The 25,353-nt window shown below is 48.7% G+C and overlaps 1 protein-coding gene and 1 non-coding gene across 2 annotated transcripts in view, besides 1 other annotated feature; one reads left to right on the top strand and one right to left on the bottom strand.

Annotated features, from left to right (window-relative positions):
- The window catches only part of RP1L1 (RP1 like 1), a 48,795-nt gene extending 35,614 nt beyond the window's left edge, over window positions 1–13,181 (bottom strand). The window contains exon 1 of the mRNA NM_178857.6: window positions 12,936–13,181. The gene's annotated coding sequence lies outside the window, so the exon portion shown is untranslated. The remainder of the gene's footprint in view (window positions 1–12,935) is intronic.
- Window positions 3,555–4,411: an enhancer, noted in NCBI's record as "H3K4me1 hESC enhancer chr8:10503027-10503883 (GRCh37/hg19 assembly coordinates)". NCBI's record gives its function as "activates a minimal SCP1, AML or CMV promoter by ChIP-STARR-seq in naive H9 embryonic stem cells {active_cell/tissue: H9 hESC(naive)}" and the evidence as "EXISTENCE:reporter gene assay evidence [ECO:0000049][PMID:30033119]".
- On the top strand, window positions 25,016–25,108 carry MIR4286 (microRNA 4286). The gene has a single exon (NR_036248.1). It is a non-coding gene; the product is annotated as a microRNA 4286 (primary transcript).
- The last annotated feature ends 245 nt before the right edge of the window (window positions 25,109–25,353 follow it).

Here is a 25,353-nt window from a genome sequence, read left to right on the forward strand (position 1 = left end):
TATAAGAGGCAGCAGGAGGCACCCCTGTGATGATGGACGTGCCCTGTCTCTTGACCGGATCAATGGTCAATGTCTTGGTGGTGATATTGTACTATAGTTTTACAAGACGTTACCACTGGGGGAAACTGGGTGAAGACTATACAGGTGATCCCTCTGTATTATTTCCTACACCTGCGTATAAATCTATAATTAATTATCTCAAAATGAAAGGTTTAGTTTTTTTCAAAGAGGTTTTTAAAAAGTCCAAAGAGTGACAGGGATGTATGGTAAAGACTGTTCATATCTACTCTTCTTTTTTTCTTACTCACTGAGTTCCTATTTTGGGGGACTGCAATAGATGCAGTTAATAAAACTACTGTCCCAAATTCCTTTCCAGATGAGGACGGCCAATAATTATTAACCGGACGTCATTTTGAAGAGCTTCTAGGAAACCTCTTGAAAGGTTGCTAAAACCCTTCCCCCCTTGCTCCTTGCTTCTTCCAGATGCCTGGAACGCGTATGCGATGGTTGGGGCTACAGATGCCATTTTGTTACCATAGTGAAACCTAGTACTAAACACAAAAGACAAAAGGCACTCAGATGCCAATGATCACAGAGACATCATAGCAGCCCTGGACTGCCTCTGAATTTCTTGTTTAAGCCACTCATATTTGATTTTCCATTAAATACAATCAAATCTAATCCTAATTAGTATACCATATAATTCACCACATTGCTCTCTGCTTCATTTCCCCATGCCCAGTCCCACTCCTTACAGAGCAAAGGAAATTTGTTGGCCTGGGTTTTGGTTGTGGTTAAGGGTAATAAGTAAGTCTGCACAATCAAAAGAGCAGAGAATGTGTGGATTTTTTCACATTAGAAAGCTCTGGAGAAACTTAAAAAATAATAATGATTAGGAAGTTGAAAGAGAAGGAAGAGAGGAGAGAACAATGCATAGTACCAGCTAAGATCATAAGATGATTTTAAGTGTTTTGAAAAATTTTGGAGACAGAAGACAGGTGAAGAATAGCTGTGGATGTTTTCCTATGGAATTATCTCCTTGAGGCCTCTTAGGAAGGTTTCAGTAAAGATTTGGGTTAAAAAATTTTTTCAGGCAGGGCATGCTGACTCACACCTGTAATCCCAGCACTTTGGGAGGCCAAGGCAGGAGGATTGCTTGATCCCAGGAGTTCAAGACCAGCCTGGGAAAGCATGGCAAGACGCTGTCTCTACAAAAAAAACACAAAAGTTAGGTGGGTGTGGTGGCATGTACCTGTAGTCCCAGCTACTCAGGAGGCTGAGGTGGGAGGAAGGTTTGAGCCTGGGAGGTGGAGGCTGTGGTGAGCCATGATCACACTACTGCACTACAGCCTGGGTGACAGAGTGAGACCTTGCCTAGAAAAAAAAATTGTTTTAGTATCAGAATGGTGTCTCTCTGATTCTGACTGCAGGCTGAGACGTACCTGGTACACAGTCGGTCTCAGTGTTAGTTCTTCCCCTTCTGGGACCTCTCCTAATACAACATCTGCCATGGCATGGCCAATCTGCCATAAATTACCTCAAGATTCAGGGATCAGAGATAAGAGATACACTCTCAGCTTCTCAGAAAGGAGAGAAAAGCATTTAAGGTAATGTACTGGAAAAGAAAAAAAAATAGCTGTCTTTCCACCTGGCTCTTTTGCCAAGTAGCAAAGAGTCTGGGAAAAGCTGGAATGTGGTCTTTCCTGCCTGGGAGATGAAAGCCAATCCATGCACCAGGAAAGAGAAGATCCTGGTGCTGCCAAAAACCTAATGTGGGTGCTGGAAAAACACTGCAGCCTTGCCTGGGGCCTCGCTGGCTACCTCTCACCTGGGCAGGTGGTGGTGCGGGGCAGAGCATCCAGTTCCAGGAACATGTCGATAGTGCCATGGAAATTCAGGGAATGGAAGCAACCAGAGTGTTACCAGAAACTGATCTGCAAGACCAGGGCAACAAAATTGGCTGTGGTCTCTATCAAGCAGGTAGACATGGCCAGGTTGGTGGAAGGAAGTTGGGAGGTGCTCAAGGGGGAAGTAGAACCTTCCCGCACCTGTCAACAAGGGATTGTATTGCCCGGGAGTGGTTTGGGAGGTGAAGAAGGCTATGTTGGGTTCCAAGAGCATCTGGCTCAATTCTACCTCTTTTGAAAGCTTGAGCTCTGCCCCCTGCCATCTTAAGCAACTGGGCCCCAAGCTCCGTTCGGGGACAGGGCAACTGATATCACAGGGTTACTCACTCAGTACTGGGGCCGAGTGACCAGCATGCTGGTCTCACTAGGCAGTAAGGACTCAGGGATGTCACATCACACCTCCAGACCTTCTTCTCAAAAAAAAAAAAAAATGGGGAGGCTAGACAAGGCAGTCTCTAGAGAATCTGCCCATGCTGAAATTCTGTGACCCTACAGGAAGGCTTCCAGGACACAGCAGCCCCAGCTGACCTTCTGGGCTGGGCTGGTCTATCCATGCCTGGCCCTGACTGTTGAAGGGTCACACCAGGCCACATGGGTGTAAGTCCCCCAGCCCTTAGCTGTGCAGAGAATTGTGATGGCTGAGAATTGATGCCATCACAAGGTGACGCTGGACAGAGACCCAGGAACCAGTCCTTCCCCTCTCTAGTTTTGGCTAATTCATTCACCTCCCTGGACCTCAGCTCTTTAGTCCTTTTCCATCAACAAAACCAGAACAAAAACCCTGCCCCTCTCACAGGCTTTCCCTGACGATGCTGTGAAGCTGGCACCAGGAGGAGCCCTGAAGCCACACCCACAGCTCTCACACCAGCCACCCCAGGAACGCAGCCAGGGCTCGCCCTGCAGAGAGGCCTATTTAACTCCTTTATAATATATTTCTGGTGCTTCCTATGGGGCTCTAATGTACAGCCAGGGATGAGAACCACATTTTACAACTCTGCACAAGTACAGGGGCTGTTATTACCAATAACGGTGAAAAATTCAGTCACGTGATTTACTTTATACAACAGTAACAACCAGTTTGACTGATTTTTAGCACTAATGACCATTTATTTTAACATTGTTTGACACAACTTCAGTGACCCCACTCAATGACCTCTTAAGTTTCTGTAATGTAGGATTGGGCATGGTGGCTCATGCCTGTAATTTCAGAACTTTGGGGGGCTAAGGCAGGAGGGTCACTTAAGGCCAGGAGTTCGAGACAAGTTCAAGCAACATAGCCAGATCCCATCTCTACAAAAAATAAAAACATTAGCTGGGCGTGGTGGTGCACACCTGTAGTCCCAGCTACTGGGGAGGCTGAGGCAGGAGGATCGCCTGAACCCAGAAGATTGAGGCTTCAGTGAGCTATGATCGCCCCACTGCACTCCAGACTGGGCTACAGAGTGAGACCCTGTAACAAAAACAAACAAATGAACAAACAAAAATATCTATAATGCTTCAAATTTTGGAAAGAATGAGGGACACATAAGGAAAAGGTAAAAATTTAAATTAATTTTAATGACTCCCTTCTAAATTAGTGGTGTCCAGACGTCAGTCTTCAACACCAAATAGATCCTACTCACCAGGGGCTTTGGTCCACATCACAGATGTCCAATATCACTTTGTACAGCAGAGTCCAGCCCTCGGAGGGAGGATGGGAAGTCTGTTAGCAAGAACCCCAGGTAACTCGGAAGCACAGCCAGGCTGCGGAATCACTGCCATGGGCACGTCCTGCCAGGAGCAAAGCCCTCTGGGAAGGGAAGGAGTCGCGAGGCTGCGAGCATTGGGCTTCCCTGGGCCTTCAGGTCCTCAACCAAGCAAACGGACACCTGCGAGTGATGGCACCAGTGCAAGCGAGTCCAGCCCCCCAGAGTCAATTAGACCAGGCAGAAGGACACGCTCACCTATTGGCCACCAGGGACCTCTGAACCCTGCACCAGGCTCCACATGGCATGACAAGCATGGCCCTGGCGGCTGGGAGCACTTGCTGCACCTGGCCTTTCTCCTCTTCCCTCTTGTCTGGGCCCTACAGAGAAAGCCTCATCCCTTCAACCCCCTGCAGGCAGCCCTGCCCTCTCCATTCCTTCCCTCAGGACGGGCAGACTGAGCCTCCCGCTGGTCACCAAGAGAACAAGATAGAAGCCGTCCCTGCACTTCCAAACTTAGAGTCTAAGCTGGGGGGACAGGCAAGAACCAGGCTGCACTGGGAAGGGCAGAAGGTGCTGCAGGACCTGCAGGAGGGCATCCCCCACGGGGCTGCCGAGAGAGCCTGCTGTGCCGAGGACCTGGCATCCCCATGCCAACTTTGTCACCACACACTCCTGAAGAAGACGCTATTCTATCTCCATTTTATGGTGGAGGACGTGGAGGCTCAGAGGTTTAAACTACCTAGAGTCATGCAGCTCTAGGGAGGGAGCTGGAGTTTCAACCCAGAAGCAGACACCAGGGCTGGTTTTCTGAATCGCTGGGAGCCTTGTATGCTCTCCTAAGACCTCGCCTTTCATTTAGGAGCCGTTTAGGCATCCTAAATGCTAATGGGTCTTTAGGATTTTGCCCGTTATTGGAGCCCACGAGAGGATGGAGCCAGAGAAAAGGTGACGCAGGCCCTAGAAACACCCAGGGAATTCCAGGTCCCCAGTGTGGGCTCCAGACAGAGCAGAGGATAACACTTCCGCTTGGCCCTCTGGACTCCCTGTCCCCTAGGAAGTGGTGTGGACGGAGGGGACCGAGCCAGCCCCTCTAAAGTCCAGGGCCTAGGAAGGGCCTCTCCTGCCCACACCCACGGGTGGCACACAAGCACCGAGGACAGCTGTAAACCAGCTCAACCACCTACTAGCTACGTGACTTTAGGCCACTGACTTATCTGCTCCACGCCCTCCTTACAAAACAAGGATAATACTGCTTTCCGCGGAGAGGCTATGAAGATCACAGTGAAGATTAAACAAAGATGGGTATTAAAGGCCTATTGTGTGTCCCCAGCTCTTAGGCACTTGCAGTCACTTTTCTCAAATGCCAACCTCCCCCCCTCAGTTGTCAGCTTCCTTGGGGGTCGCTCCAGTGGAAGAAAGCCTCGCCCGAGGCGGAACCCCTGGCAAGGCAGTGCCTGACCAGCAGAGATCCACGAGGGGCTATAAAGGCCACGCATCCTCATCCGGGCCCCAGGCTGGGGCAGCAGGAAAGAGCTGTCCCGCCTTCAGAACTCCCTGTAAAAGTGGCTGCGTTTCCACTGAGGCGCCACGGCAGCCCAGCTTCTAGCCCGTCCAGCCTGCTCCAGGGCCTCCCTATAACGGAGACTGGTTACAAGGCAACCAAGTACAAATCCTAACGAATGTCCGCCCTCTGACCTCCTTCCCAGGGGACATATCTGTGACAGCTGAGCCTGCTATGGTTGTCGCTCTACTGTTTGTGTTTTTATTTTTTTAATTGTGGTAAAGTACTCATAACATTGACCATCTCAGCCATTTTTAGGTGTACAGCCCAGTGGCATCAAGCACATTTCTTGTTATGCAACCATCACCCCCATCTGTCTCCAAAACTCTATCATCCTGGGTTGAAGCCCTGGACCCTTTGCACACTCCATCCTCATTTCTCCTCTCCCCAGCCCCTGACAGCCACCATTTTGCTTTCCGTCTCTATAAATCTGACACCTCTAGGAACTTTACAGAAGCAGAATCGTGCAGTATTTGTCCTTTCGTGACTGGCTTATTTCACTTAGCATCATGTCTCCAACATTTCAACGTGTTGCAGCATGAGTCAGCATTTCCCTCCTTTTTAGGGCTGAATAATATTCCACCTCATGTATATGCCAGTGTTTGTGTTTATCCATTCACTTATTGATGAATCCATGGATTATTTCTACCTTTTGGCTATTGTGAATAATGCTGCCATGAACAAGATGTACAAACAGCTTTTCAAGACCCTGTTTTCAATTCTTCTGGGCATATACCTAGAAGAGGAATTGCTGGATCCTATGACAATTGTACATTTAATTTCTTGGAGGAAACTCCATTCTGCTGTCCACAGCGGCTGCACCATTTTATATTCCCACCATGGTGCACAAGGAATCCAGATTCTCCACATCCTCACTAGCATTTGTTGTTATTTTCTGGTTTCTCTCTCTCTCTCTTTTCTTTTTTTTTTTTAGACAGAGTCTCACTCCGTTGTCCAGGCTGGAGTGCAGTGGCGCCATCTCGGCTCACTGCAACCTCCACCTCTTGGGTTCAAGCGATTCTCCTGCCTTGGCCTCCTGAGTAGCTGGGACTATAGGCATGTGCCACCATGCCTGGCTATTTTTTATATTTTTAGTAAAGATGGGATTTCACTACATAGGCCAGGCTGGTCTCGAACTCCTGACCTCAGGTCATCCACCTGCCTCGGCCCCCCAAAGTACTGGGATTACAGGTGTGAGCCACCGCACCTGGCCAATTTTCTGGGTTTTTTTGTTTGTTTGTTTGTTTTTTTAATAGTACCTATTCTAATGGCTGCTATTGTTTTTCAGTTTAGATTCCCAGCGTCCCCCTAGAGCTGCTCTGTTTATAAAGTGTCCTAGGCAAGTCTGACACACAAGTAGGCTTGAGACCCACAGCTCTGAAACCCAGTAGTTGCAGTGTGTGTTCCAGCACGGATCTGTTATGCGTTTCCAAGCTTTTAAAATAAACATCACGAGGAACAATGGGGCAGGTCTGGGAATGTGCTATCCAAGGCCCTAGGTTCCCTGTCTCCTTCGAAGTCACCCCCACGTCTTTGCCAGTAAAATGGGAGCTTCCAACCGAAAGGCAATGAGATCCAGTTGGCCTTGCCATTCTCTGACTTTTATGTGGGCTTAAGACCCTGACAGAGAACTTACAGTAATCGCTTTGGCTGGGAAATCTCTTGGATTGACAGACACCACACACCCAGGGGAATCAGACATAATGTTCCCCGTTCCCAGCATTTATCTTCCTCTATCCTGCACATACCATGGCTAGAGAAGCCCTGATGGTCTCATCCTCACGGCTTTCCCATGATGCTTCACAGGAGCTGCGAGGACGCTTCAGGGCCAGGGACATCCACTGCCCAGGCAGGAGGGGCCAGGGCAGTGAGGGTGTAGGCCCTCGCCTCCCAGCCCTACTTTCATGCGGAGCTGCAGCGCCATGCCTGAGCCCAGATGGGAGACTTCTCTGTGGAATAAAAGCCTTGTAGGGGTTTTCCCTTCCTTAGAAAATTCCCGGATTCACCACTCCAGTGGATTCGCAAAGCTTTCACAGAGGAGGAAGCGTGAGATTCAAACAACCCACAGACACAACTTTCTTCCAGCAAAACCGATTCTACTCTCAAGTCCTTCTTCATTCTCCTCATCCACTTGCTGACCAAACTCTTGTACTCATGGCCATTACAGTTTCTTAGGCACTCAGGCATGTGTCGGGAGCCTACTCTAGGGACTAGGACTATGTTCAATTTAGGAGGAAACACAGCACACGATAGCAAGCCTTCAACCTTCATTTGTGAATCCTCAGGATCAAGGGCTTTGCCTGAGAAATACCCATGGCTAGCTGAGTCCCACCCGCTGTGGTCTCACTCTGACCCAGTAGACCACAGCCTGCCCCAGCCAGGACAGGAGGCTGCTCGATGGTGGGTTGCTGTCCCTGGCTCCCAGAGAGCTCAGTGTTCTCTTGGGAAGGCTCACAAATACCTATTTAAGAAGCTTCTGGCCAGGTGCGGTGGCTCATGCCTGTAATTCCAGCACTTTGGGAGGCCAAGGCAGCTGGATCACTTGAGAGCAGGAGTACGAGACCAGCCTGGACAACATGGTGAAACCCCATCTCTACTAAAAACACAAAAGAATTAGCTGGAAATTCTGCTGGGGCCCCTTTCTGGCTGTGCTTCCGGCTCCAGGACAACACACGGGATTACAGATGTGCAAGCAATTCCCTGAAGCCCATGAGTCTTCCTGGAAAGAGATAGTGGATGCGGCCGATACTGTTGGCTGCCTCCCCTTCAGCCGCCCCTGCCCCACCTCTTGCTTGCTGTCACAGGTCTGTTTGGGCGGCCTGCAGTTGCTGGGCCTCTCCCAGCCACAGGAGTTGAATATGAGCTGGCCTAAGTCAATTATGCAGTTCCATTTCCCTGGTTGTAGGGCACGTGATCCAACCCTGGCCAATGAGAGGATTCTGAGAAAGTGTTTTCATCCAAGAGAAACACGAATTTGAGACTCATCTCTTCTTGCTTCTGGGGATTGTCACGTGTGTATGGAAAGCTGGGTGCTGCTGCAACCACCACGTGATCATGAGGAGAAAGCCAAGAGAATCCCAGAGTCTCTACTCATGAAGCCAGTGAGTTAATCAACCCCAAATTTCCCTGCCTCTGGACTTCTTACTAGACAGGAAAACAAACCCCACATTCTTCAAGCCACTTTTAGCTGGGAATTTTGTTTCCCATAGGCAGAAGCATCCTAGCTGCTAATAGTCTCCCAAAATACAGCTTCGACCAAAGGGGCCAACAAGACACAGAGCGGCATCAGCCAGGGTGTTAAATGCAAACTTGCGTTATCCACATCTATGATAATGAGCTGTCACGTGACCAAGGCTGGTACACTGGCCATCCTGTCACATTCGGGATGCAGAAACTGAGGCTCAGGGAAGTCATAAGAGCAAGACTCCGTAGTTCTTTTTTTTTTTTTTTTTAATTGAGAGGGAGTCTCGCTCTGTCGTCCAGGCTGGAGTGCAGTGGTGCGATCTCAGCTCACTGCTAACCTCTGCCACCCAGGGTTCAAGTGATTCTTCTTCTGCCTCAGCCTCCCGAGTAGCTGCAACTACAGGTGTGTGCCACCGCAACTGGCTAATTTTTTTTTTGTATTTTTAGTGGAGACATGGTTTTGCCATGTTGGCCAGGCTATTCTCGAACTCCTGACCTCAGGTGATCCACCTGCCTCGGCCTCCCAAAGTGCTGGGATTACAGGCATGAGCCACCACACTCAGCTGACTCTGTAGTTCTTTACACTTCGCAAAGTGTTTTTATGTAGAACATCTTACTTAATCTTTGTTAAAATTGCCATTATTATCCCCGTTTGATAAGTGAGCAAGTGAAAGCTAAAAGGGAACACTAAGCTGCTAATAGCTGTAGTGTTTTATGGTTTGCAAAGTGCTCTGGGATAATTTGTCTGATTATTACCTTGAGATCTAGTCTGTAAGGTAAAGGTTGATAAATCAGGAAGCAGGCTCAGAAGGGGCAACTGACTCTGCCAAGCTCCACTAAACTCCAAGGCTGTTCTTCCCATACCAGAGGTTCTCACAGTGTAGGTCTTGGGCCTGCAGTCTGAGCCTGGCCTGGGAACGTCTTACAAATGCAAATTACCTGGGGGTGGAGCCCAGCAATCTGTGTTTTACCAAAACCTCCAGGTGATTGTGCTCACACATTTGAGGAGTGCTGCAGCGCTCTCTCTCTGATTTGTCTGAAATGACCTTGCCAGGTGAATCTGGGGCCTTGGTCAAGGACCAAGTGCTCTTTCTAGTACAGCAAATTGATGCTAAACTAAAAAATAGAAATAAAAGCTATGCTCGGGCCGGGCGCAGTGGCTAACGTCTGTAATCCCAGCACTTTGGGAGGCTGAGGTGGGCAGATCACGGGTTCAAGAGATTGAGACCATCCTGGCCAACACGGTGAAACCCCATCTCTACTAAAAATACAAAAATTAGCTGGGTGTGGTGTCACGTGCCTGTAGTCCCAGCTACAGGAGGCTGAGGCAGGAGAATCCCTTGAACTCAGGAGGCTGAGGCAGGAGAATCCCTTGAACTCAGGAGGCGGAGGCTGCAGTGAGCCGAGATCACGCCTCTGCACTCCAGCCTGGCAACAGAGCGAGACTCCGTCTTAAAAAAAAAAAAAAAAAAAAAAGTTATGCTCAGAGCTGTTGCTCCATGACTGTAAAATCCCAAAGCATACAGTACACAGTCACGCAGCACACAATGGCATTTCTGTCAATGACAGACCTCATCAATGACAGTGCCCCATGAGATGATCATGGCGCTGCATATACAGGTGTGCCATTTAAAAAAATCTTTTATACTGTATCTGTACTGTTTCTTTTCCATGTTTAGAAACACAGATATTTCACATTGTGCTGCAATTGCCTATAGTACTCAGTATAGTACCATGCTGTACAGGTTTGTAACCTTGGAGCAATAGGCTACAGTATAAGACCTGAGTGTGTAGTAGACAACACCATCTAGTTTCGTGCAAGTATACTCTATGATCGCATGATGACACAGCTGTCTAACAACACACTTCTCAAAATGCATTCCCATCATGAAGCCACGCATGACTCCACTATAAATAAAAGACTGCCCTTCAGGGTTGAAGGAAATGATTTTAGGATCAAGAAGCAGGGACTGTAATATGATACACGTCACAGAGTGGACTCATAGAACTTAGGGCCCCAGCTAACAGTAAGGCTGACAATATAGATATCCATCCAGAAGGGTTGGGGGCCTCCTCAGAAACTGATCCATCATGAGTGGTGGAGAGAAAGCAGATTATACATGTAGATCTCCTGCTATGCACCAGACACTTGACGAATGCGATGTCATCTAACTCTAATATTCCTTCCTGCTGGGTATAACCAGCCCCGCAGTATCTTAAAGAATCTGGGGCTTGGAAAGCTTCAATGACTCGCCCAAGGTTCACGTAGCTAGTGAGTGGTGAAATCACTCTTTGAACGAAAGTCTTGTTTCCTCCAAATTCAATGCTTTTGGCTACTTCATTTTACAATTGATCCTTCTGTATTGAAGAAAAAAAAAAACCTTTCAAAGTAGCCCACATCTGAACACCAAGATTCCATCTGCAGCCTGAGGCTGGCCGGCTCTCCACTCTGAGCCCACGTCCCCCCTGATTCCCTATCTCCTCCCGTCCTCTGTGCGTACCTGCCCTTCCTGGAGGTCATCATGCTCACTTTTGTAACTATCACAGTGCCTAGTGGAGCTCTGAACAGAGCAGGTGCCTAGCTAATGTTACCTAAAGTATTTTCAGACATTAATGTTGGAGGAAGGCTCGGTCTTTGGGGATCGATGACATCCCAGTGGGTGCCCAGTGCCTCAGGCCACTGTTAGACAAATCAACTCCGGGTCTGAGGCAGGGTGAAAACTCTTTCTGTCCCTGTGTGGCTGGGTTGTATCAGCCCAGCACCTCCAGCAAGCCACAGAGTGGTTGCTCAAGAGATATTGTTGACAGATTGATTTACTGACTAATTTATATGACATACTTATTCAATGACACAGGTCTCTTGGAGGGAGTTCACAGGAAAGTAACCAAGATGATTAAAGGATTGGAAAATGCGTTTTACAGGGAAAGGTTACAGGGACGGGTTATTTAACTTGGAGCTGAGAAAGCTGTTGAACACTGCATGCACAGGCCATCGAGCTGGAAAGAACCGAAGGCTTGTTTAGTCCAGACCCCTTGATTTCCACCTAAGAGACCAAAACCCAGGAGCAGAGGAGCAGAGAACTATGTTGCCAGCCACAGTCTACACTTCGTGACTGCAGGTCCAGGGATCCCTCCAAAACACCAGGTGTCTCCCTCCAACACACACACACACACACATACACACACACACACGTGCACTCGTAAACTAACACATGCATCACATGCACACACACGTCACATGCACACCCACCTGTATACACATGCACACTCATGTGCACACACCCACACCCACATCACATGTGCGCACACGCACCTGTACAAACATACACACTCATGTGCACACCCACACACGCATACACACACACACACACATTAAACACAGAGGTTCAGAAAACGGCAACCAGCTCTCCTCGTCCCCTCCTGTTAGAAGAGAGCAGCAGGCCTGTCTGAGGTCACTATAATTTGTAAGAGGATTTCTGGAAGATGTTTATATAACCGAGAGGGTAAATAAAGAACGATGTGGAGTGCACATCTTGAAGGTGTGTTCTCACTGTCTGAGATGCATTTCTGGGCTGTGCACCTCCCCCAGGGAAGGAGTCCTGGTGCCCTCCCGCGACCTCCTCCAAGCTTCCACCCTGAGGCAGTGTCTTTGCTCCTTTTCCCTTCACTGTGCAGCAGCTGGGGAGGGAGCCTGGGGCAGGGGGATGAGCTGGCTGTGGGGCATGGTCCCATGGGGAAGTACAGATCTGAGGCACAGGGACAGTTAGCTGCAGCCGCGCTGGACCTCGTCTGAGGTCTGGGCCATGGATCTCTGCTCACTTGCCGTTGGAACCACTGATCTCCCCTAAGCCTCGTTTTCTCCACCAGAAAACTGGGACGGGAGACTGGCACTTGACTGGCCGCTGGGGGGATGTCATTACCATAAAGAGAGCAGACCCCAGTTTGATTTTGTGGCCCTTCCATGACTTCATCTGTCCGGGCCTCAGTCTCTTCTGCACAAATGGGCCCAGGATGCCAGCCTTGAAGCTGGGTAGAGAAAATTCAATGACCTCATTGATAGGGACCTTCTATGCCCCTTCCTTACCACTCTCTCTATTTGCCCTGGGTCTTCAGAGATTCTTGAAGTCTCGGTCCTCTAAGAAGCAAATTGGACACCTCCCCAGAATCTGCTCCCACCCCAGCTGACCTCACCCTGCAGGAATCAAGGGGCAGCTGCCCACCTCTCCCTCCTCTCCAAGAGCCCCAAGAAATCCTCAGGAGGGATTTCTCCCTCTCTGACTCCAGCGACTGCATTGCTCACCCTCCAGGTCCAGGTGGGAGAAACAGACAGGCTGTGATACTAACATCCTGTAAATCAACGAGCAGAAACCTGAAACTCCACTGTGTCGTGTTTAAACATGATCTGCTCCCAAACAGCCCAGCAGGCCTTGCAGAAGAGAACCGATCCTGCGTCACCGCAAGCATCCTGTTCAAGACATCCCTCCCAGGCTCTCAGGCTGAAACGCCTCCCCACTTGCTGTGACTTCCCAGAGCCAAGACTCTCTGCCCCTCAGGTGGCTGGCTGACCCTGCGGGACATAGGCAGCTGCTGACTCACCGTCCTCCAGGGAGCACAAGGGCATGGCTCAGCCCCTAAGCCTCAGGGGGACGTCCTTTGGAGGAAAGTCAGGCCAGGGGGAACACCGCCTCCTTCCCTGCCAGTGGCTCAGTCCCTCTGGGCAGCAGGGCTGGCCACCCTCCTCCGGACAGTCCTCGGGGCCACTCTCCTTGGCCTGAGAGCCTGAGGCCCCAGTCCCTTGGGCAGGAGCCCAGCCTCCTGAGCTCCAACAGATGGTCCATTTGCACAGAGACCTGCCACCCTGGCCACTCTCCCCAGAGGGAGCTGGATTATGGCAAACCCAAGAGGATTAGTGCGGGAGGCCATCTGCAGAGAGGATAATTAGCTTAATGGGGTTACACGGATTGTTCCTGGCCCTCTGCCCAAGGGTACACTTGTCAAGACTGTTAAACACAGCCTGGGGGCTTGCAGGGGAGCCCTCTGAGCACCAGCAGCTCCCACCCTGTTCCAGTTGTCTGGGTGGGCCATGACAGGCCTGCAGGATTGGGGGAGCGCCCCGCCCACCGTGGTACTGGGCAGGAACACCAGGTCCTGAGTGGGGGACACCAGGGGAAAGGTGGGGAACTGTTTTCCATCTCCCGGAAGAAAGCAGAGAAGGAAACATGATGGTATTGCATCGGGCAGGAGGCAGCACGTGGAGGCCCGAAAGAAGCAGCTGAGAAGTCAACCCGTCCTCAGCCATTTTCTCCACCAAAGCCGAACAGCAGCTTCCCCTCGAAGGGTCCTCCTTCTTCATTTCAGACAAAATGGATCATTTTGGTTTTAGGTTGGCAGTGCCTATGGGGAGCCACAGGAGCCTGGAATGTTCAAATCAACTCTCTCGGAGGGCTGGAAATTTGTTTTTTGTTTGTTTAGAATACACTTGTTTAAGTGCAGGGCTGCCTGGAGGCAGGGGACAAACTGTGACCTCCAGCCTGGCAGTTTCCTCCCTGGAAATTAACTAGGTGGAAGGGCAGCCTGTGGAAGTCATGGGGACTCAGGGTGTGTTGCCATCAAGAGGCGAAGATTTAGTGTATGTGTAGTCCGCATTGAACTGATCAGTTCCACAAATGAAATCACTTAAGCCTTGCTTCTGGCTGACAGACACAGCAGGTCAGTCCCAGTGATCAGATGTGTGTGGATGTTGGCTCTGGGGTGCAGATCACACTGTAGGTGAAAGATAGGCTTGCCCAGGTAATTTTAATAAGTTAGCATAAGCATCGTCAAACACAGTAGTGATCAGCCAAAGTCCAGATGCTTCATGCAGAGCACAGAATACGAGTAGCGCAAAGGCATTTCAGATGATGTACGTTTGGTTCACATGTAGTGAGCACCTACCTGCAAAGTGTACAGCAGTCATTGCTATTCAGTAAATGCCAGTTCATCCAAATCCATGAATAAGCACAGAGTTGCAATAAAACATTTCACTAGCTTCTTTTCCCCAGGGGAATGTGGGGAAACATTGTAAGTAAAGGGAAAATATAATTTGTTCAATGTCCACACTTATAAAGGAGAGTATACTTAGTGGCCTCAAAGTGGGGTTACCGCATATTTTATCAGCTAAACCAAGGCACTTTGGGGAGTGAAACAAGACATTATCAATTTCATCTGGAAGACAGGAGTAAACCGCAACTGTCCCCAGGCAATCAGCACCCAGGGCTCCCTTACCTCGAAGAATGACCAAGTGTAACATCTCTGATTTTGTGAGTTGCATAGTCAAATAGCCTTTGTACTACAGAAAACCTACTTCAATGATTCAAAGCTGCAAGACGGTAGCTAGAACTTTTGAACCTGAGCCTCAGAGGTCTTTGTACCAACCAACAAGAGATTCATGGCTCAATGTTTCCCAAATACCTACTATGTTCCACCTGCCCTCTTAGCCACTACTGAATATGCAAAGAAACCTCAGAGAAGCCAACATCAAATTGTAGCCACAAAAGATAAGCCAGTTAAAGTAAAATACCAATCCTAGACTTTGACAACCCTTCCAAGTGGCTGAAAGCAGAATATGCAAAGTGACTATTATTGACAGTAAGTGCTATAAATATTCCAAAGCTAGAAAGACTATCATGATGGGAAGGAGGACATCACTCCTGAAGGATGAAAAGGAGAGGGCATTTTGATCCAGATGAAGCAGAATATCTGTGCATGAATTTATACCCTCTGCTCCGATTTCATAGCCATGAGGGACCAAATGAAACAAAGGAACAATAAAAAGATATAACTAGGGTTTCCCCCTACACTCCCCAAAAGGCAAACATCTCTATTGCCCAAAATTAGAAGAAAAACACAAAGCAGTGAGTAGGACTGAGACCACAGGCTGGCTGGGCTCCTCCACACCTTTAAGACACAGAAGCTGTAAAAGGGAATGCTGACCCCTGTGTGGGGGCATGGCTTTATGATACTAGATCTCTGCTGGTGGAGCAGGGGTTGCCCAAGGATCACGTGGCAATGGTTGAAGACATTTTTGGTTGTGTCAGCTGGAGGGGGGAGTGCTACTAACATCCAGTGGATAGAGGCCAGGGACACTGCTAAATACCCTGCAATACACAGGACAGCCCTCTCCATGACAAAGAATTACCCAGCCCCAAATGTCAGCAGTGATGAGATTGAGAAACCCTGGTTTATAGGAAGCCATTGGTGTAATACACACAAAGTATCTGAAATACATTTGTGCTACTCATATTCTGGGCTCTGCATGAAGAAACAGGACTTCAGCTGATAACTGCTGGGTTTGATAACCTTTATTCTAACTTATAAAAATTATTTGGTTTATAAGAAGACATTGGTATAATAAGTAAGAGGGAACAAAAAGATTCAGCCGCATGGCTGGTGACTGGGTCTAGAATATCCCCCAAAATATTTGCAGAGGAAGAACTCCAAAAATGTCACTAGGAGATTCGGTTCTGACTAGGAAACTGCATGAGGGCCACCACAAAACTACTACCCAGGGAGGGTAGCAGATAGAGAGGGAGAGAAAACAGAACAAAAGCAAACCCGCTACTCTAGGTGAGCCTGAAACCAACATTTAAAATCACATGACAAATATGATGTACAGAAAGACAGTCAACAAAGTCAGCAATGAGAACATGAATTCACTCCAAATGAAATTAATTTCATGGGATGGTCTGATAAAGACTTAAAATGTGCCTTAGCTGGAGCTAGAGGGGTACACGGGAGAGCTCGGAAGGAGAGAGGCTTCATAATTACCATATAGCAGCCACTGTCTAGAGTTTCAAAAACCCTAGGAGGTAGGTATTATTATACCACTCCCGATATGAGGAAACCGAGTCATGGAAATGAGAACTAATTTCCCAGGGTCATTTGGCTGGTATGTGGCAGAGCCAGAATTTGGGTCTAGGCAGTTTGGCATTGGCCTCCATGCATCTCATCAATACACTGTGCTTTGGGTAGAGAGAACAGCATAGCCCCAAGAAGGGATTTTATTAAAGATATAAGAAAGAGAATGAAGCATCAAAAAGGGAATGGAGAGAGAAGAGTCAAGCAAAGCAGTGTGAAAACAGGCTAATTGTGTTCGCAGGGTGCAGGAATGGTAATCCAGCCATGGCTGCTGAGACACCCAGGAGAATAAAAGGGAAATGGCACCAGTTCTTGGCAGTGCAGGGAGCCCTGGTGGCCTTCAAGAGAGCTGTTCAGTCGAGAGGAGAGGGCAGAAGAGAGAGAGACTATAGGTGAGAAGGTGGTGGGGAAATAGAGGCAGGAATGACAAACCTTTTGTTTGGGAAGTTTGCCAGTGCAAGGCAGGAAAGAAACAAGGTGGTAGCCAGAGCAGGCAGCAGGAAGTGGCCGGTGATGGGGAGAGACTGAGGATGCAGGAGGGAGGGGACAACGCAGGTCCTAAAAAGGTGAGAGGAGGAACCACAGCTTGTTGCTGGGGCCTGGTTCCTGGGACCGGTATGTAAACCCAACCACGGGGCATTTATGCACTGAGTAAGAACTACAGCGAGCTCCACATCACCTGGACACAGCCCAGGACAGTGCAGCCTCTGGACCGTCACTTCCTTAGCTGTTCTCAAGGGAATTCTGCCACCGCAGGCCTTCCTAGGGATGGGCTGGTTTTCCACAAGCTGCCGCTGCCGGGCCATCATTCTTACACGTGGGCACAGCCCCTCCTTCCTTCAAAGGGCATGCCCACTGTCAGCTTCCACCACCATTGGCAGCTCCTTGCTGCTGTCGTCCTTGGACCTCATGGACTCGCTCCCTCGTTCATGAGGAGTTTGGCACCTGGCCATGCAGAATCTCCCTGTCCACTTGAGAAATGCCACTGTTCCCTGATGGCCCTATGTCTGTGTGGCACCCATCCCACAACCTGGCCTCAGATCCCCTCAACTCAACACCCTTCATCCACACTCCAACTCACCAATTCACTCCCCATCTGTTCCCCAGGCTTTATCACCCAGATGTGATCAGCTCTAGAAACCTAAACTCAAAGAATTCAGTCTCAGGCCACAGTCTCCTATGCCTACAGCTCTCTCCTCTCCTGCTTTCACCACAGGACTGCCCGGTAGCCTTTCAGCCATTTTGCTCCCATGCCTTCTCCTGCTTCCTGGTTCTACAGTGGCTGTCTGCCTAGCCCCATTCTCATGGGACACACTTCATACACTCTCTTGCAGATCAACGCAACGACCTACCTTCCTCTCCTCCACTGCACCAACTGGAAGCTTCCGGAAGAATTTGCTCACTTCTGTGGATTTAGGTTACTTCAAATTCACAGTCTCAGCATTAACTGAGACTTTGATTCATTTCCTCAATATTTTTCTCATTCCCTGGTCCAGTCTTTGATGCTCTTTTCAAGGTTTCTCTCATCCCCTGGTCAGGTCCAGCCCTCACAGTTGCTACTCCAAATCTTCACCAGCTTCCCTGAGTCACCATCTCCACGGACCTTTGGGCAGGATAATAGGAGATGAGCTATTCTTAACATTGTTCCTCTGCTCGTTGCAGAGGAATAGCAAATCTCCCTGAAAGAAGTTGCTCTGTGTCCTGTTATAGTTCTGTCTCTATGATTGTCTTTACCCAGACACCACAGTAAGCGACATTCTACAGTCACATGAGCTCAAATGGACTTCAGCAGGAAATCTACCAAGTCCTTACTGCAGGGCTGAGGTGGCTGCTGTGGTTGGATTAGGAGTTTTGTCTTCTCGTTACCCTCTGGATTCTTCTCTTTCCTTCCCCTCTGCACGCCTCTTTACTCCTGGGTGGGAAAGATGCTCATGTTTTTTCTCCTTACTGTTGAGAAGGCTCTCAGCTGCAGGCAGCCAGTCCATGCATGCGTGGTCTTTACAGGGCGCCATCACTGGGGTTGTGGCTCGCAGGACCCCTCGGTGCTCCCCGCTGGACACGGCTCCCCATGTGTCTGATCTCTAAGGCCAGAGCAATCCTGGAATGAGTGGTAGGGCCTCAGAGCAGTGCTTCCAAAAGGAATTGCAGCCAGCAGTGAGTTGTGGGCAGTTTGTTACTTACACAAAGTGGGGTAAGGGCAGACATGGTGGGTATGCATTTAGAAACTTAGAGCGATTTGACTTTGTGGTGATATCCAGGTGCAAGAACGCTTGGCTCGTATTTTGTGTGTCTAATACGTTTTTTAATAATTCCTTTTATTGTATTCTTTTAAGTACTGACCGACAATAGGTTCAAACTTTTTAAACCAAACAAATAGGTTCTTCCTTCCCAGGCGTTGTTGGAGAAGCACTTCTCTCCCCTGGGAGCCATCATGTCTTTCCCCTTTCTTTAGAGGGAGCCACCGACCTGGCTCATAACGATGCAAGGCTGGCACCCACACTGTAGTCGGCTTCAGCTTCCATAACACAGGACCACAGACCGGGGGCTTAGATTGCACAAACATATTTCCTCACAGTTCTGGAGTCTGGAAGTCCGAGTGGAGGGTGTTGGCAGCGCTGGTTTCTCTGGGGACCCCGCTCCTGGCCTGTAGATGGCCGTCTTCACCCTGTGTACTCACATGGCTGTCCTGTGAGTGTCTGTTTCCTAATCTCCTCTCTCTGTAAGGACATCAGTCCTATGGGATTAGGGCCCTTCTCATACGACCTGATTTTACCTTATTTACTTCGTTAAAGGCTCTATCTCCAAATACAGTCACATTCCGAGGAACGGGGGGTTAGGACTCCAACTTGTAAGTTTGGGAGGACCTGATTCCCCCTTCACACCATGAATTCACATACTCAGGGCCCCGTCCTCCCAGCTTTTGTGCGACTCCCACAGTCCCCAGCAGCTCAGCTCTCCCCTTTCAACAGAACCACAGATAAGGGAGGACTCGAGAACCTGGGCTCATTTCCAAAGTGCCCGACCGGTTGTAAACTGGTAAACCCCCAGGGCTGTTGCTGGCCAAATTACTACCATCAGGGGCTTCTTTCTTTCATTAATTCAACAAATATGGATCTGGTTTTTCGTTATGTGTCTGACACTGTTCTAGGCACAGGAGATACCAAATAAACACGCAGTGCTCTCACGGGCTGAAGTTCTGGGGTCTCCAATTCTTCCTTTCACCTCTCAGGCTCCCAAGATCGCTCCCTCCTTTCCAAAGGCTGCTTCAGACCAACCCTCCCCAGCCTCTGACCTCCCAGCCACAGCCTCCCCTCCAGGAGAGGCCTTGACCGGAACTCCTCCAGCCAGTGTGCCAGCCCTCCCAGGCAGACAGAGGACAGGCTTTGATGAAATTAAGTTTCCACATGGGTCTGAGTACTGCAGGACCACTCTTGGAATCACGGGTGTCCTGTTCTCTACAGATGCACTTCCAAACCTCTGCAGATCCACCCCTGCCCCCACCTCCACAATGACATCATCTCTGCTCTCTCGTAAAGTGAAAATCAGACTGAGGTCTCTCTCTTTTCAGAGATTCAGGCAAACAGGCTCCAGCCCCGTCTTACTGGATAGGGAACTTGGCATCTCTCCGCAGATCCATGAGGGCATTTGGGGGTTAATGCTTACACCTAGTGAGACCCAAGTCTGGTTTACTGCGGCCAATTTCTCATCTATCATCTGTTGGGGTTAGGAAAGGCAGCTGGGGTTAGCTCACAGGCCTGCAAGGGAGGACTTTTGAGGGTGACCAGTATGCAGCCCTGCACACCAAGCCTTCGGGCTCAACCCTCCTTGCATGAAGGAGTGTCCTGGTGGCATCTCCCCTGGAACTCCCTACTGCCCCCACTTCACTCTTGCCTCCAACCTCTTCACGAAGAGCCCTAATCCTCCACCTTTCCTACCCATCTAGTGTCCTGCCACATCTCTTTTCCAGCCAACATTTCCTTATCCCCGGGCAGAAGGTCGATGCCACTGTGGCAGACGGTGTTGGCTGTCCACGTGACTTCTCTACCTCCTTCCTGGCTGGAGAAGCTACTTTTGTCCAGATATTGAAGGCTCGCCCCTTCTTACATAGAGCCCTGAGCCAGCACTGACTCCAGGAATCGCCCACAGCCATCCTTCCACAACCAAAGAAGCTATTAAAAACAAACTAAAAACCAAAGCTATTAAAACAAGCTATTAAAAAGAAACTATTAAAAACAAAAGACTCTCCCCAGGGGGCATGCCCCAGAGCTAAAGCTCACTTCCACATTGCACTTTCCCACACTAAAGTTAGGGTGGTGCTAGGGATGGCTCTTCTCAACCTCCCCCCACCGCCCACCTCTTTGCCCACCTCATGGTTGGTCCCATCACCCTCCCGCTTCCCCTGACTCGGGGCAGAGAGATCCCCAGCTGGCCCCAGGCAGCTCATCTCCTCTCTCTCTGCCAGACCCTCAATCCCCAGTTAGTCGTGCTCTATCTCCGGTGCAGTCACCTTTTGCAGCCAGTGGTCACATCTGGGTCAGGGCCCGCCTTTCCTCCATCCCAGTCCCCTGAGGGTTCTGTCTTCACATTCCAGGTGCAGGCTGGTGACATGGTGTACTCCTCCCCTGTCCTGGGAGCTCTGGACACCCCACCTGGGTGCTTTCATTCAACAAATACATTGGAAGGGTCAACTCCATGCCAGGCACTGCTCTGGGCACAGGTCCCCACAGGGAGAAAGCCAGGCCCCTGCTGTCCTAAGTAACATCCTAGTGGGGAAGACAGACACATAGTAAACCAGTCCAAGGTAAGGGGTAACCTGCCGGGGAGGAGGATGAAGCTGGGTGGGGAGGTGAGAGGAGGGGGAGCTGTTGCAGAGGCATGCTCAGAGGATGCAATCCGAGGATGTGACATTAGATGAAGGCCTGGCCAAAGTGAGCTGGCCAAGCAGGCACCAGCATTCTGGACAGAAGAAAAAGGCACAAATGCGTGAGGAGGAGCATGCCCGAGGCATGGAAAGCCCAGCAGTGGGGATTCAGCAGAGCAGATCTCGCCAGATGGTGCCGGAAGTCACGGCAGCATCATATAAGCCCTCACAGGCCATCTCTGTAGCTCATGCTCTTAGCAGTGTGGCTACTGTTAAGGGGTCAGTAAACATTTGTTGAGTGAATGAATGAATGAACGACTGCTTTGAAGCATGCTTAGGTTGACCGTGTCTTGAAAAGGGCCTTTCTGGACGGTTTATCTTCCCCTTGCCATCTCCAGGGGCCTGCGCTTATGGTAACCTGGGAGCAAGGCCTATGTTCTGGCTGCTACTTCTCCAGGGAAATGAAGGTTGCCGATCTGTCTAACAGGCTGCGAGCTCACAAGCCCAAACTGATGTTCTGAGAAACTGTCCACCATGGGGTAGACTCGAGTTTCATCACGATGATTTGTCCTTGATGGAGTTCCTTTTATGTGGATGAGAAAGCTTCCCAGCCCCCACCCCCATGCTCCCACCCACCCCCCGTCCTGGAAAAGTCTCACAAGATGACGGCCTGACTGTCCCTTTCTCAGGGACCTGAGAGGAAGTAGGAGGTGCAGCTCACATGGGTGACAAAAGGAGACATCCTGAGGCCTCAACACCCCCACTTCCTGGCTCTGGCAAATCACTTTACTTCTGTGAACGGCAGCCCCTCGCTGCCTGGTCCACCTCACAACCTCATTTGACCCAACCTGAGCCTCAGCAATTCAAGCCTATAGCACCTAGTGCAGCTATGTGGAACTCTAAGCGCAAGCGACAGCAGCTTAACTCAAATATGGGTGTTTCCTTCTCATACATCACAGAAAGTCCAAGAGTTAGGAATCAGTGACTGGTGCAGCAAGCGTTGGCTCTCTCCAGGGACCCCGGGATGGGATGCCCATTCATGTGCTTGCAACATGACTGCCAGAGCTCCAGCAATCATCCCTGCTGGATGGATAAACATTCCCTGCTGGAGGAAAGAAAGGCATAAAGGGTAAATGGGCTTCCCAAAGCCCAGAAAAGCTGTCAAGGATCATGTCACATGACTGATCCAATCTGCAAGGGAGGCACCAAAATGTCATTTTTTTTAACAGTGTACATTGCTGTTGGCACCCCCCAAAAATAGGAATTCTCTTGTAAAAGTACTAGGAGAGAATAATACTGGACAGATCACAAGCAATGTCCGCCACAATCCACCCACTGGAGTGACCCTTCAGCCATAAACATCTTTTTCATATTCACCTACAATTGGCCCTTCCACTAAGGGATAGACAGGGTCTCTGGGAAGGCTGTCCTCTCTATCAAGTCTAGATGTGGTCCTTGTAAGTTATAAACAGTCAAACTCGAAGAGTTTGCCCCTAGCACATCCCATACATAATGGCAGAAAAGGAAGGGAACTGCAGTAAAAACTTCCTTCAAGAAAAGAGAACTGGCCAGGCGTGGTGGCTCACACCTGTAATCCCAGCACTTTGGGAGGCCAAGGCAGGTGGATCAAGTGAGGTCAGGAGTTTGAAACCAGCCTGGCAAAAACCCCATCTCTACTAAAACTACAAAAATTAGATGGGCGTTGTGGCAGGTGCCTGTAATCCCAGCTACTTGGGAGGCTGAGGCAGGAGAATCGCTTAAACCCGAGAGGCAGAAGTTGCAGTGAGTGGAGATCGCACCACTGCACTCTAGCCTGAGTGACAGAGCCAGACTCCATTTCAAAAAAACAAAACACAACAAAACAACAACAACAACAGAGAATAATGGGAAACACTCAGCAGTCACTGGGCCATGACAATTATCAAATTCTCTTGAACAAAAATAATGAGGGATCTCTGTCTTGGCAATGGATTACATTCTTTGGTTAAAACCAACCTGGCCGATTTTGCTCCAGCTTCCGGGTGAATCTCCCTTAAGCATTAGTCCTCCATTGCTTTTTCTCTGGAATGTTCCTCTTGGTCTATTATTAAGCTAGCTTGGTCTGCCTAGCTTTGTCTCAGAAGAGTGTTTGGGATGATAACCTTCTTCATAAATGCACAGCTTTTAAAGCTTACCTGTTATTCATTTGGGTTTCGAGGTTCTCAAATAGTTTCAGAGATTTAAGAGTTAAAGGATGTTGCAGGTCAAGTTGGGTTTTCTATAGTGAAATGGTTTTCTCAAAACTTAGTTCACTTTAGTTGTAATTGCTTCCAGTTGATTTCATGCAAGTAACACATGGAACCAAAGATCTTATCCAGGCATAATTTTTAGGGCTGAAGCTACTTGTCTTTTACTTATTGGACATAGCCACTGTGCAATCCCCCATTCCCTAGCACTTAAAATATAGCTACCAACTTGAGGTAATTTCTAAACCTATAAGCTCCAGCTAGAAGGTTAAAGCCTGTCTTTGCCAGGAGACCATTGCTTTGTCTGATGAGATAGGCCGTTTATCCCACTGTGGCTGCCATTTTGAAATCACTACTTATAAATTCTTTAATTTGGGGTATAGAAGCACTTGGGTTGCATCGATCCTGCAGGACTCCATATTGTAGTGTTCTCGTCTGTACACTTAGGTTCATAGCAGCTTATGCACAATAGCTAAAAGGTGGAAGCAACCCAAGTGTCCATTGATGGAGAGGTGGATAATGTGGTAAATACATACAATGGAATATCATTCAACCTTTAAAAAGTAGACAATTCTGACACACACCACAGCATGGATGAACCTTGAAGACATTATACTAAGTGAAATAAGCCAGTCACAAAAGGACAAATGCTGCATGATGTGTGAGTACTGCAAGCGCTCACTTATATGAGGTCCCTGGTGTAGTCAAATTCATACGGACAGAAAGTAAAATGGGGATTGCCAGAGAACTGGGAGTTAGTGTTCAATGCATACAGAGTTTCAGTTTGGGAAAATAAAGAGTTCTGAAGATGGGTGATGATGATGGTTGCACAACAATGTGAATGTATTTAATGCTATAATACTGTACATGTAAAATGGTTTAAATGGTACATTTTATGCTATGTTTATTTTGTCACAATTTTAAAAAATCATCTTAAATAAACATATGAACAACAAAAATTGCAGTGATCTCATTCAATATAGATTACAGATCACAGGTAGAGGATGTGTCTTCTAGAAAAGCGGTATTTGGCCAGGCGTGGTAGCTCATGCTTGTAATTTCAACACTTTGGGAGGCTGAGGTGGGAGGATCACTTGAGCCCAGGAGCTCCAGACCAGCCTAAGCAACAAAGTGAGACCTCATCTCTACAAAAAACAGAAAATTAAAAAATATCAGCAAGGTTTGGTGTTATTCTTGTGTGGTTCCAGGTACATGGAAGGCTGAGGCAGGAGGATTGCTTGAGCCCAGGAGGTTCAGGCTGCAGTAAGCCATAATTGCACTACTGCACTCTAGCCTGGACAACAGAGCAAGACCCTGTAGAAAGAAAGAAGAGAGAAAGAGAAAGAAAGAGAGAAAGAAAGAAAGAAAGAAAGAAAGAAAGAAAGAAAGAAAGAAAGAAAGAAAGGCTGTATTTGCATCTATTTCTGCTTGCAGACTGTCCCACCCTAGTTCAGATTTATTTCTCTGTCTCTGAACTTCACTGCTAGCAATCTCGATTCTTCCTGCCATATTCTGCAATGCTACAGCCTTGGTTAGTGTGTGGTACATGATCCAAGGTACAGCAGGAGACACAGTTTTTAAGAACGTTTTCAAATGCATCACAAGGTCACTAGCTTTTAGTCTGTAATGTTTGATATATTAATTTTTCTTTACCTACCTTCTTCATTCAGTCCCTGTCAAGTATTAGCTTCTTTTACTTATGGCACCCCACTCCTGGTACCATAGTCATAAGTTAGGAGATGTTAGAGCTGTGAGTACCATGACTTAAGTGTGGTGGCTTAAACATGAAAGGGTTTGTTTTTGTCATCTGATGAGAAGTCCAGGCATAGTAACTGCTGGTATTGGCTCAGTGTCCCATGGTGTCAGGGGCAAGTCTTCTCTCATTAGATTGGTCTTTTCCCTTATGATCCTAAATGTTTGCTGAGGCCTCAGTCATAGTGCCCATGTCCTAGGTAGGAAGAGAAGGAGAAAAAAAGGCAAAACTGTGTGTCCCAGCTGGAAATACTCTTCCTAAAAATCTCTCCTGATGTTC

This window comes from Homo sapiens, chromosome 8 (genome assembly GCF_000001405.40).
Source record: "Homo sapiens chromosome 8, GRCh38.p14 Primary Assembly".
In the NCBI taxonomy this organism is placed as follows: domain Eukaryota; kingdom Metazoa; phylum Chordata; class Mammalia; order Primates; family Hominidae; genus Homo; species Homo sapiens.